Consider the following 12,696-nt stretch of genomic DNA (forward strand, 5'->3'; position numbering starts at 1 on the left):
AGATAACTTGAGCTCACGAGTTCAAGACCAGCCCGGGCAACATACAGAAATCCTGTCTCTACTAAAAATACAAAAATTAGCCAGGTGTGGTAGTGCACATCTGTAGTCCCAGCTACTCAGGAGGCTGAGGTTGGAAGGATGGCTTGAGCCTAGGAGGTAGAGGTTGCAGTGAGCCGAGATCGTACCACTGAGCTCCAGCCTGGGCAATAGAGCCAGACCTTATCTCATAAATAACATAAAATATAAAATAAAATAAAAATCTTGTAGTGAATGCTGTTTCTGGAAGGTTTTTGACTCTAAACCCCACCAGTTGTACATGTGGTTACCTGACAATGGCTTTTCTGGTTTCTATCCTGGTTTGGGCGTGTTTTCACTGTACGGAAAAAAATGTTTAATTGCTTATTGAAGTTCCTATACACAAAGTACATAAATTTTAAGTGTATAGCCCAATGTATGTTTACATATAATTACAGCAGTGTAATCACCACTCAGATCAAGATACAGAACATTTCCAACACCCCAGAAGGCTTCTTCATGCCTGCTGCTAGTCAATGCTGCCTCCTCTAAATGTAATTACTTTTCTGATCTCTATCACCACAGGTTAGCTTTGCCTGTTCTTGAACTTCATATAAATGGAATCACGCAGTATTTAGTCTTTTGTGTCTGGATTCTCTTGCACATCAATATGTCTGTGAGGTTTATTCTTGTTGTCACATGGAACTGTGATATGTTCTTTTTCATTGTTGTATAGTATTTCATTTAATGAAGATACTACAATGTATGTATCCCTCTCTCTATTGATGGACATGTGGGTTATTTCCAATTTGTGGTTATTGAAAGTAAAGTTGCTATGAATGTCCTTGTACATATCTTTTGGTGGGAAATGGTCTCATTCTTCTACAGTGTCTAGGAGTGGAATTGCTGGGTCATAGGCGTATTAGTCTGTTTTTGCATTGCTATAAAGAACTACTTGAGACTGGGTAATTTATGAAGGAAAGAGGTTTAATTGACTCACAGTTCTGCATGGCTGTGGAGGTCTCAAGAAACTTGCAATCATGGTGGAAGAAGAAGTCAGCATCTTCTTCACAAGTCAGCAGGAGAGAGAGACAGCACAGGGGAAACTGCCACTTTTAAACCATCAGATCTCATGAGAACTCCCTCACTATCACGAGAACAGCATGGGGGAAACCACCCCCATGATCCAATCACCTCCCACCAGGTTCTTCCCTTGACACGTGGGGATTACAATTTGATGTGAGATTTGGGTGGGGACACATATCACAGGGAAAGTATGTATTGTGCTCCAAGTCTAATAGATACTGCCAACAGTTTTCCAATGTGATCCTACCAATTTCCATTCTCACAGGGAGTGTCTGAGAGTTCTATTTGTTCCACATCCACATCGCCAACACTTGGTATTGTGAGGCTTTTTAACCTTGGCTATCCTGGTGGTGGAGTCTTCTTTTTGTTTTCATTTGCATTTCCCTGGTGACTAAAGAAGTTGAGCATCTTTTCCTCTGTTTATTGGCCTCTTGGTATCTTTTATGTTTTTAAGTGAAGTGCCTGTTCAATTTTTTTTTTCTTTTTTGGGGGAATAGAGTCTCACTTTCTCACCTAGGCTGGGATGCAGTGGCGCAATCTTGACTCACTGCAACCTCTGCCTCCCAGGTTCAAGCAATTCTCCTGCCTCAGCCTGCTGAGTACCTGGGACTATAGGCGTGCACCACCACACCTGGCTAATTGTTTTACTTTTAGTAGAGACGGGGTTTTGCCATGTTGGCCAGGCTAGTCTTGAGTTCCTGACTTCAGGTTATCCACCCACCTTGGCCTCCCAAAGTGCTGAGATTACAGACGTGAGCCACCAAGCCCGGCGAATTTTTTTTGCTCGTTAAAAAAATCAGGAGGTCTGCCTTTTTCATATTTATTTGTAGGTGTTCTTATAAATTCTGGATGCGAGCTCTTTGTCAGATGTAAGGATTGTGAGTTACCTCCTCTATTAGCAAATTTAACTTGCTTATTCATCAACTCATTCCAAGAGCACCAATAAGGAATGGGCCAGGCCCTGTGCTGGGTGCTGGGTTATCAGAATGAGTATGATGTGGCCCTCATTCTTGAAGACAGCTCGACCGTGATGGAGGAGACAGGCATTTAGAATAAGCATGAAATAAAGGTGGCTGTTAAGGGGTCAGCTCCCCTCACCAAAGTCACTTTTGATTTACTTACAAAAGTTTTCTTAAGATTTCTTCAGAACCCAGGTAAGGTGAAAAGCAAGGGTTTCCCTATGCTTATTTTCTGGGCTGGGTTTTTAAATCCTTTGCAGTGAGTACTGCTTTTAGAAGATTCCTTGACTCCATCAGCTGAATGCGTGCTCATCTGCTGATCCCTCCCTTGGTTTCCGCCCTGTTTTGGGGAATGTTAGGCTGGACCCACCAGGATGTGGTCAAATTCTTGGCCCTGGAATCCAGTTCCTGGTGCTCAGTGTGGGTAAGTCAGACCCAGCCAGGAGGGCGGAGGCTTTGGTCGGGAGTGGGGGTGGGGCCAGGCTGGCGAATGCTCTGGAAAGCTGGGTCCAGTTTAGAAATCTTCACCTCTCCTGGGAAAACTTGTCATGTCAGGCACAGCCAGACTTCCCCTCCCACCCCTCAGGCTGCCAGCCCTGATGGGGACTCAGGGGGCTGTGAGTGGCATGGGGACAGAGGCCAACACATTGGAGTGAAGTGGCCATGCTGAGGCCACAGGCGGTGGGCAGGCATGAAAGCCGGGCCCAGGACATGGAAGAAGCCCATGGCCAATCGGTGCATGAATGATGGGGGGCACCTTGGCAGGCTCGGGGGGCATCGTGTCCTGGAGTCTGAAAACAGGCACAAAAGGGCAGTGCACAGGGTGCCGGGCAGGGCATGAGCCCTGCATTCTAGCCTGGGGCCTGTTCCTAGCTCACCCAGTGCCACCCAGCTCCTTTCTCCGTTCTCTGCTCTTGTGGCCCATGTGTCATTAAGGGCCCAACAGCTCTGACATTCTCTGTAGCTTATCTAGGAAGGAGGCACTGTGAACACCTGGGAGCAGGTAGGCAGTGGGGCCTGGCCTTGGGGAGCCGAGTGACCACAGGGAAGCAAGGGGTGTGCTGGACAGAGGGGCCTGACACCCAGTCCCTTCCTCACGCTGCTGCTACACTGTCACCTCCCAGGAAGGCTCCTGACCCCGGATGGACCCAGAGCCCATGGTCCTGGGGGGACCTCTCTATGTTCATCATCTGAGACACCAAAATAGATGCCCCTTTATCAACTAAGATGGACCCCAAGGTTAAGGAAACAAAAGTTACCTACAGGCAGAAGGTTCAAGGCCTGGTTGGCATGGCAACTCTCTAAATTCCCACCACTGCAAGAATAACCACACCTGGCCGGGCACGGTGGCTCATGCCTGTAATCCCAGCACTTTGGGAGATCAAGGTGGGTAGATCACTTGAGGTCAGGAGTTCGAGACCAGCCCAGCCAGTCTTTACTAAAAATATAAAACTTAGCTGGGTGGTGGTGGTGCGTGCCTGTCATCCCAGCTACTCGGGAGGCTGAGGCAGGAGAATCGCTTGAAACTGGGAGCTGGAGTTTGCAGTGAGCCAAGATTGTGCCACTGCACTCCAGCCTGGGCAACAGAGTGAGTGAGACTACTTCTCAAAAATAACCACACCCAGCTGGGCGTGGTGGCTCATGCCTGTTATCCCAGCACTTTGGGAGGCTAAGGCGGGCTGATCACGAGGTCAGGAGATCGGGACCATCTTGGCTAACATGGTGAAACCCCGTCTCTACTAAAAATACAAAAAAAATTAGCTGGGCGCTGTGGCGGGCGCCTGTAGTCCCAGCTACTCAGAAGGCTGAGGCAGGAGAATGGCATGAACCCAGGAGGCGGAGCTTGCAGTGAGCCGAGATCGGGCCACTGCACTGGAGCCTGGGCGATAGTGTGAGACTCTGTCTCGGGAAAAAAAAAAAAATTACCACACCCTTGCTAAACTCTTAATAATAGGAACTGTCAGGCAAATCGTCACATCCTTCATGACTTGGATTTACAACCAAGACCACTACAGCTCTGACTGGATGGAGGAACTGCCTGACAAACATTTTTTCTTCTTCTTCTTCTTCTTTCTCCTCCTCCTCCTCCGTCTTCTTCTTCTTCTTCTTCTTCTTCTTCTTCTTCTTCTTCTTCTTCTTCTTCTTCTTCTTCTTCTTCTTCTTCTTCTTCCTCTTCTTCTTGTTCTTCTTCTTCTTCCTCTTCCTCTTCCTCCTCTTCCTCTTCCTCCTCTTCTTCTTCTTGTCCCTCTTCCTTCTCCTTTTTCTTCTTCTTCTTCTTTTTGAGACAGAGTCTCACTCTGCTGCCCAGGGCTGCTGTGCAGTGGCGTGAACATGGCTCACTGCATCCTCGACCTTCCAGGCTCATGTGATACTTCCACCTCAGCCTCCCGAGTAGCTGGGATTAGGCATGCACCACCATGCCTGGCTAATTTTTTTTATCTCTTGTAGAGACAGGGTTTCACCATGTTATTCAGTCTGGTCTCGAACTCCTGGGCTCAAGCAATCCACCTGCCTTGGCCTCCCAAAGTGCTGGGATTACAGGCATGAGCCACTGCGCCTGGCCTCAAACATTCTCTTCTGATACGCAACTGCAGACCTTAAGCCATTTCAGCAGCTTATAGAGTCTGCAAACAAGCTGTCTTTGTGTCCTGCACCTTTTGCTATAAAGAACGAAATTCCACCTCATTTTAGTACTAGAACCCTAGCCCAAAGTGAAAGTGGGGTCTGCTTTACACTACGTGTGTGAAAGTGGGGCGTGCATTACACTACGTGTGCCTGTGTGCATACACTCCCCTCCCTTCATAAATATGGATAGCCTTTCCCGCAAACCTGCTGAATATGTATGACTCTATTGCGTCATATGGGCTCCATGAGGCACAAAACCCAACCTGCCCTTTTCCTCTCCCAAGAGAGAGCACGTCCAGAACACGCCAGAGACTGTCTCTTCCTGGTTTGCAAACTCATACCACTAGTAAAGCTCCTTTCTGCTATTTAGCTATCCTGGTGGTCTTTTGGGCAACATGCTTATCTGGGAAGAGCTGTCTTGTAATCTCTGTGTCTGCATCAGACTCTGCCAGCCCTAGATTGGGAGCTCTGAGATGACATAGGCTGCGTCCCACCCCAGCAGCAGCATGCAAGGTTGGGGACACATGTGAGGGTGTGTGGTGCAGCCCTGAACAGCCTCAGGCAGACTCCCTGTATTCTTGTTCCCAACCTCCTCCCTCCCTAGGTCAAAAGGCTGTGGCAGGAGGCCAGGCAGATCACAGCGTCCATGCCTAGATGCTCCCTGACCCCCAGGAACCAGAAGTGCTGTCTCCTGAAGGCTCTGGAAACCCGGAATCAGCCTACGAGGCACCAGGGCCACCTTGGAGGGTGGAAATGAGGACCTCAGGCCCCAGAGGGCATGCAGGCGAGGTGAAGTTCAGGAGAGGTAAGCCTAAGGACCCTCAGAGCTATCACACTATGCCCTCCACCCAAATGATGCAGACAGGAAAACTGTGGCCTAGACCGGACCACCACGGCCAAAAAGGATCTTTGTCTTGTCTTGTCCCACAGCCAGGAAGTGTCCCCCTCTTCCCGGCCTGCTGTATCCCAGGACACAGGGCGTAAGTGTGGAGGAGGAAGGGCTGCAGGGTGAGGCAGCCCACACTTTGGCTCAGGACAGGGATGGGACCGGGACATATGGGAAAATAGTCTGGGGGTCCTGGGTAATGGCAGGAGCATGAGCTCAGGGTCGGGTGGCTGTCCTGGATGACCTGTGGGACTCTCTTCCTCTCCAAGCCACGCTTTCCTCAACTGTCCCTTCCTTGTGGGATGCAAGAGGCCACGGCGAGCGAAGGCATGTGCCAAGAGCTGCCACTCAATGTGAGTCAGCGTGCTGGTCCTCCCTCCTTTTCTCCAGGGGGCCTAGGACTTTTGGGGGGAGCCTGAGGACATGCTTCGCTGATGTCACTGTGTGGAGTGTACAAATGGCCACCCTGCTGCTCGTTGGTTCTATATGGGCATCCAGGCTGGAGAGCAGGGGGTGGGGAGATGGAGATGCCACCAGCAGGGGACTGGTTCCTAGAAGAGAGGGCGAGTTTGGGTGGTCCCAGAGGTGTTCTTCCCAGAAAAGAGAGCAGGAGGCAGGAGGTGGGCATGGAGAATGTGGAGGGGGGCATTGACAGTGTTCTCCACCACCCATCAGATAAGACCTGGAGCCTCATTACCAAAGACTTAATGAGATTCGCTTTGTTTTCTTATGAGCCAGGCAAGGTGCCAGGGGAAGCGGCTTCCAGCCCCAGGCTCTGCAGCTGGCTGCTGTGTGACCCAGAGCCAGGCACCACACCTCTCTGGGCCTTAGACTCCTTATCCATGAGCTTCCTGCCTGCACCCTAACATTCAGTGTCATTGGCCGAGTTACCCAATGGCTCCCAGCCTCAGTTTCTTCATCTGCACATTAGGGATAAGTACAGCCATCCACCTGGGAGGTGTCAAGGGGGTGTGGCCGCAGCACCCAGCCCATGCACAAGTTCAGTGATCATTACCTGTCTCCCCCAGCCCTGCCTGAGTGCCAGGATCAGCAGGCTTGGGAAGGGGGAGCCCCCAGGGATGTGGAAAGTGGAGAGGGAGCACATGGGCTCTGGGGCCTCGGGGCTCCTGGGCTCTGTTCTGCCTGTCTGGGAGCTGTCTCCTGCTCTCCCTTGCAGTGTCTCTGTCTCTCTTCGTTCTGTTCCTCCCTCTGTCCTTCAGTTTTTCCCTCTCCATCTCAGTCTCTGGTTGTCTCAGTCTCTCTTTGCACCTCACTGTCTCTGCCTTTCTCTGCATCTCTCTTCCTTTCCTGGGCTCTCTCTCTCTCTTTCATCCCTGTTTTGGGCTTTCTCTGTCTGTGTCTCTCTGTTTTTCAGTCTGCTTCTTTCTGTCTCCGTTCATTTCTCTGTATGTCTTTGTCCCCTGCACTCCCATTCTCCTCCCATGCTGTCCTCTCTGGGGGCTCCTCTGGCTTCACTGGGCCACAGGCCCAGGCTGGGGTGTGAAGAAGCAGGAGCTCCCCCGTCAGATGACGCTAGGTGCCCCAGTCAGGGCAGTGGGGGCCAGACAAAGAGCTCTGCGAGGGGTGGCAAAATCCTCTTCCCAGGGAAGGGAATGTGGGGGCTACTGGCCAGCTGTGGGATGGGTGGCTGAGAACTCTCATACCACTGTAAATTCTAGATGTTTTTCACTTATATCAGCTTCCTGATCCCCCTGAGCCAAAGGCCTAGAAGGTCCCTGTCCCTGTCCTTTTGGAATGTGCAGTCTTACTTACCAGAGTGACAAGGGGAACAGAGTTGAAACAGGTGGTTTCCCAGCACAGGAGCCTGTGGGGGCTGCTTAGAGAACAGCACATTCCCTGGGAGCCAGAGCCATCTGGGAGGGCTTTCTGGAGGAGGCAGATCATGAGGGATCAGGATGGGGACTAATATGTGCTGAGTGCCTGGTGGTGCTTTATAAGTATCAGCAGATTGGGAGATAAGCATAGCCACCCTGTGGAGACACCTGGGAGGTGTCAAGGGGCATGCATTGTAAAGGCCCAGAGTGGTGAAGCATCCACCAGCTGGTAAGTGGTAGCCTCGGGTGGGGCCTGTCGCTGTCCCCATGCTCTGTCCACTACTGGTGTGGCTTGCCCCACTTGTGACCATCGTTTCTTCCCCTCCACCCCCAGTGCCACTTCCTCTCTCCCTCGTTGTAGGGGAAAGAACATGGGCTGTGTGGCCTTGGACCAATTGCTTGCCCTCTCTGGGCCTTCTTATTGGTGACAGACAGACTGGTGACTTTCTGAGAGGATCTATGCAACCTCAGGCTCCTGCACCTGGGTTACAGGGTCTTCTGGAGGGGAAGAGATGAGCAGGTAGGCTTTGACACCTGCCTGCTTTGTCCTGAGTGTCTACTATGTCATCTGCTTTAAATGCGAAGTCCCTGGGACTTGCGAGTTATCTCTAAGCCTTCTCTTTTCCTGACTTTCTGGGAGTGTGTGTACCCCCATTCCCTCACCCCAGCCATCAGGGCCCTTTCTGAGTTGGGCCTCCTTCCTAGCTCTGGGCTAGGCCCCAACCCTGGCCCTTTCCAAGGCCAGCAGGAACTGGAAGGTCCGTACTCATGCCCTGGGAGGCTCCAGGCTCTAAGGGGTGCTGGAGTGATGGAGTTGGGCGGCTGGTGCTCAGAGGACCTTAATGGTGTGGGGACAGCTGGAAACTGGTTGTCTCTTGAACCCTCTTGCCACCAGGCCTCTGTCCAGGAGGGCTGCTGGGGGCCAATGGGCCAGACACCAGACAGTCACACCTTTGGCAGGGCTGAAGTCGGGGGGTGTGTGACACAATGGGAGGGGCTGGGCCTGGCAGTCCCTGCAGCCTATAAGCACCAGCAACCCATGAGGGGACACAGGCACCCTCTGGCCTCATCCTTCTTGGAGCCAGTGGGATGTAGCAACTAAAATACAAGCTCTGAAGTTTCATGGACTGGAGTTGCATCTCTGCTTCCATCCTAATTAGCAAGAGACCTTGGTCACGTTGCTTAAACTCTGACACTAGATTTTCCCCCTCTGCAAAGCAAGGACAATAGCAGTGCTCCCTTCCCGGGTCAGTTGCAAGGATTAAGGATGATGTCTGCAAAGTGCTTAGTCAGAGCCGGCATACGGTAAGTGCTCAATAAATGCTGGCTCCCATTATTAGTATCCCTTCCCTCCACGCCCTCAACACATCCCTTTATCATGATGGAATAACCAATTGCCTGGTAACAACATGTTCACACTTCCACGCTCCCCATCAACCATGCTCACCTATAAGGCAGGCTGCGACCAGCTCCTCTTCATCTATTCATTGCCTGGCCCATGCTAGGGGCCCAAGAAATGTCTGCTGCATCAACGAGTGATTTTGGGAAAGGTGCTGAGCCCTTCTGTCCCATGAAGTTCTTGCGAGACAGTGTCTCACCAGCAACCTGGATCGTGAGAACCACAGCGGGTGGGCCAGATCTAGATGGAGAGTGTCCATTGGGCAGAGCTGCTTCTGTGAAAGGAAAGGAAGTTTTTCAAGAAACCATGAGGGGGGCCCAAGAATCCAAGTTTCTAACTCTGGGATCGGTTTTCTGTCTTTTACCTCGGTTTGCCTCTCCCTAGCTGTGTGGTTTATGGCAAGTCACTCTGTGCCTCTGTCTCCACGTGTTCAAGGAGGCAGCCGGTCCAAGGGGCCTTCATAGAAGGGGCTGCCGAGATGTGAGCCCTGCATTGGGGGGATGCCCCACAGAGGTGCTGTCCCCCATCCCCTTTCCAGGTATGAGTGTCCCCCAGCTCTGAGTGAATCAGTAGGAGGTGCTGGACCTGGGCTGATTCTCACAGTGGGACCTCAACTCTAGCCCCGGGTTGGCTGACATTAGAGGACTTTGGGTCGTTGTTCTGGCAGCTGCAAGGAAGAGCCAATGTCAGGGAGGGAAACCCCACATTCCCTGGCACTATCCAAACAAAGGTTTGGTTAAAACAAAGAATTCTCATGGAGAAGAGTCTGAAGGACCCAAAACACATATTTCTGTAGACATCCCATCCCAAAATAAACCCATGGATCAAGCCAGACCCAAATACAAGGATGCTGTGAACCACATGGTTGAATATTCCACACTTTCCCCATCCATTAAACCCCACCCAGGGTGGGAAGGGGATGGATTTCCCTCAGTTCTCAGGGCCTAGAAGAGCAGGGCTTTTTTCCCTCAACTGGTTGAGTTTTACTTTGTGAGCACCATGATTCCTAAAACCAGTTATATTTTCTTTTTCTCTTGGGCCGCCAGGGAACTCACAGCGAAATCTACCAACCAAAGAGGATGTCCATACCTGTCTTTTTCTTTCTTCCTTCATTTTTTGACTTAATTTCCTCACTTGAAAAAAAAAAATAAAACACCTTATTCAGGGTATACTTTATGGGCAGTCTTAATTTTTTTTATTAGGATGTGGGATGTAAATCCATAAAAGAAGTAGAAGTGCTGAGCCTTCCTGTGGAGTGGGTGCTGGAGGGGAAAAGGTGGAGTTAGGGGAGGGAAGGGGAGGGCAGGAAGGTTGGTGATGGGCAGAGATTCACAGAGACTCCCAGGTCAGGGAGCAATCCCCCAGTCAGGGCAGCAGGAATGCCCAGAGGAATTCTGATCGGGACAGACGTCGGGCACTGAATGAAGAGAGGTCCCTCAGGGGCCTGGTCTCAGGGGCCTTGAATTCCACGCAAAGCGTGTCTTGAGCATCAACTATATGCCAGGCACCTTTTACATATATTATTTCTTACTTCTAAATTATTCCAGATTTTAAGCCGGGTGCAGTGGCTCACGCCTGTAATCTCAGCATTTTGGGAGGCCAAGGCAGATGGATAACCTGAGGTCAGGAGTTCGAGACCAGCCTGGCTAACACGGTGAAACCCCGTCTCTACTAAAAATACAAAAATTGCCTGGGTGTGGTGGTGCATGCCTGTAATCCTAGCTACATGGAAGGCTGAGGCAGGAGGATTGCTTGAACCTGAGTGGCAGAGGTTGCAATGAGCTGAGATTGTGCCACCGAGCTCCAGCCTGGACTACAAAGTGAGACTCCATCTCAAAATAATAAATAAATAAATAAATAAATCTATCAATCCAGATTTTACCAATTAGGAGACTGAGCCTCAGAGAAGTTAAATCACTTGTCCAGAGCCCTGAAATTGGAGAAGCAGCTGCGCTCAGACTGGAACCCTAGATGGTAGGGCCCCTTAGTCCTCCTTTATCTTGGGGGGATCCAGGGAAGGCTTTTCAGCAGGGGAATGATGCAATTGGATACACATGTCAGGGGGAACATGACTGCTTGTGGCAAGGAACGCAGTAAGCCTGGGGTCAGGGAGACCAGGAGCTGCTGAGGTCTCAGCTCAGAGATGGTGGCTGGAACCAGGAGGGTGATGGTGATGGTGGAGGTGAGGGTGGGGGCAAAGAGGAAGGGAAGGATCAAGAGATGTTTGGAAAGTAGAGGTGATACTCAGGAGGGGTGCGGGAGAGGGAGGGAGAGGTTGCCTGGGCTGGCTTGGGCAGCTAGGGTGGAGGTGGCACCATTTGCTGAGATGGGAAAAGCCAGCTGGGGCAGGGAAGGGGCTGATGTGCTTGGAGGCTGCTGAGTTGGCCACCTGTGGGGATGACTCGCCTGGTCACAGCCCCCCGAGGGCAGAGGACACATGCCTGCTCAGCTGGGGCTGTGCCATGTCCCGCCCTGCCCCATGAACGGTATCATTAACACTGCTGATGCTGCCACATGGAGCCTTGGATGTCCCCAGACCCGAGGAGGGAGTTGGTAATTCCTGCAGGTCTGCACAGCCCAGCAGAGCCTGGTCTGGAGTTTGGATGCTGAGGGGATAGCGTGGATTGAGTTGGGTGACTCATGGTCCTCACCACTTCCCGCCATTAGAGCCTCTGGCCTGCCCTCTGGCCCTGTGGGAATCAGTGGGTACCCTATTTTCTCACAATGGCCAAGTCAGAACCCCCAAGGCTTCTCCCCCATTCACCAGGAGGTCCAGGATCCTGCCCTGGGTGCCAGGAGCACAGGAAGGGGTTGGGTCAACATAGGGAGCTGAGCAGACTCAGCAGATGTCAAGGACTCTGACCTCTGGAACGGCACCTATATATAAAAAGTGCCTAATAGATGTTTGTTGAATGAATGAAGACTTTGGATCCAAATCTGGCTTCTTGTGACTTTACTGTGTCACCTTGGGTGAGTCACTGCTTCTCTCGGTGCTGTGGTTTACCCAGCTGGAAAGTGAAGGGGCTGGATTGATAGTTTCGGGGGCCCTTCCAGCTTGAAGTTGGGTGATCCTGGAGAGCAAGTGGAACTGTCCCTGTAGTACCCGGGGGTGCTGGGAGGGGAGAACGGTCTCAGACAGGGGGTTACAAGAACTGGGCTCTGCTGATCCTCCCTACCTTCCTCCATGGGGTTCTAGGTGAGCTCAGGCACAGCAGGCAGCGTGTGTGTGTGTATGTGTGTTAGGGAGAGGTCCCCCGGACCAGAAGAGCCCACAGCTGGTGTCGGCAACACAAGTAGACCCAGAACCTACCCTGATTGGTCCCAAGGCCTGAGGCAGGCAATTTCCATGCCTTGATGGTGGCAAGCCTCACTGGGGCCCACATTGCTTACCCTCAAGGGCATCAAATGACTTCCCCAGCCAGAGTTATTCCCTCCACCCCTCTCCTTACCCACCAACACAAAATAACCAATGCTGGGGGCTCAAACTCATGGCCCAAGAGCTAGGTCTGGTCTACCGATGGGTTTTGTTTGACCTCAGTATTCTGTTTCTGAGAAACACTGACTTAACGCATGAGCCCAGCAGGCTCTGTCCCCTCTGCAGCAGTTACCACCCCTCCCTATTTTCTCCCAGCTGGTAGCGTCACACATATCTATTATCTGCCTGCCCTCCTGAAGGTGCCTGAGTTTGGAAACTCTGATCCAGCTTAACAACCCATTTTGTAAATAGGGAGACTGGGGGGTTGTCGGGGGTGATCCTAGTGTTTCCGGATGAACGAGGTCAGGCTGCTTGCTCTCGTGGTCCAATAAGGAGATGCAGACAGACTGAGAAAGAAGGGAGTTTATTTCTGTAACCGGTTACAGGGAGAAGATCGGAGTAACTCACCAGACCAA

The 12,696-nt window shown here is 51.5% G+C and overlaps 1 long non-coding RNA gene across 1 annotated transcript, besides 1 other annotated feature; it reads left to right on the top strand.

The window, feature by feature from the left end:
* The first annotated feature begins 2,113 nt into the window (after window positions 1-2,113).
* On the top strand, window positions 2,114-8,712 carry LINC02783 (long intergenic non-protein coding RNA 2783). The gene is made up of 4 exons (NR_148993.1): window positions 2,114-2,255; window positions 5,290-5,490; window positions 7,768-7,926; window positions 8,625-8,712. It is a non-coding gene; the product is annotated as a long intergenic non-protein coding RNA 2783 (long non-coding RNA).
* Window positions 5,387-5,888: an enhancer, noted in NCBI's record as "H3K4me1 hESC enhancer chr1:17519557-17520058 (GRCh37/hg19 assembly coordinates)". NCBI's record gives its function as "activates a minimal SCP1, AML or CMV promoter by ChIP-STARR-seq in naive H9 embryonic stem cells {active_cell/tissue: H9 hESC(naive)}" and the evidence as "EXISTENCE:reporter gene assay evidence [ECO:0000049][PMID:30033119]".
* Window positions 8,713-12,696: the final 3,984 nt, after the last annotated feature.

This window comes from Homo sapiens, chromosome 1 (assembly GCF_000001405.40).
Source record: "Homo sapiens chromosome 1, GRCh38.p14 Primary Assembly".
Taxonomy (NCBI): domain Eukaryota; kingdom Metazoa; phylum Chordata; class Mammalia; order Primates; family Hominidae; genus Homo; species Homo sapiens.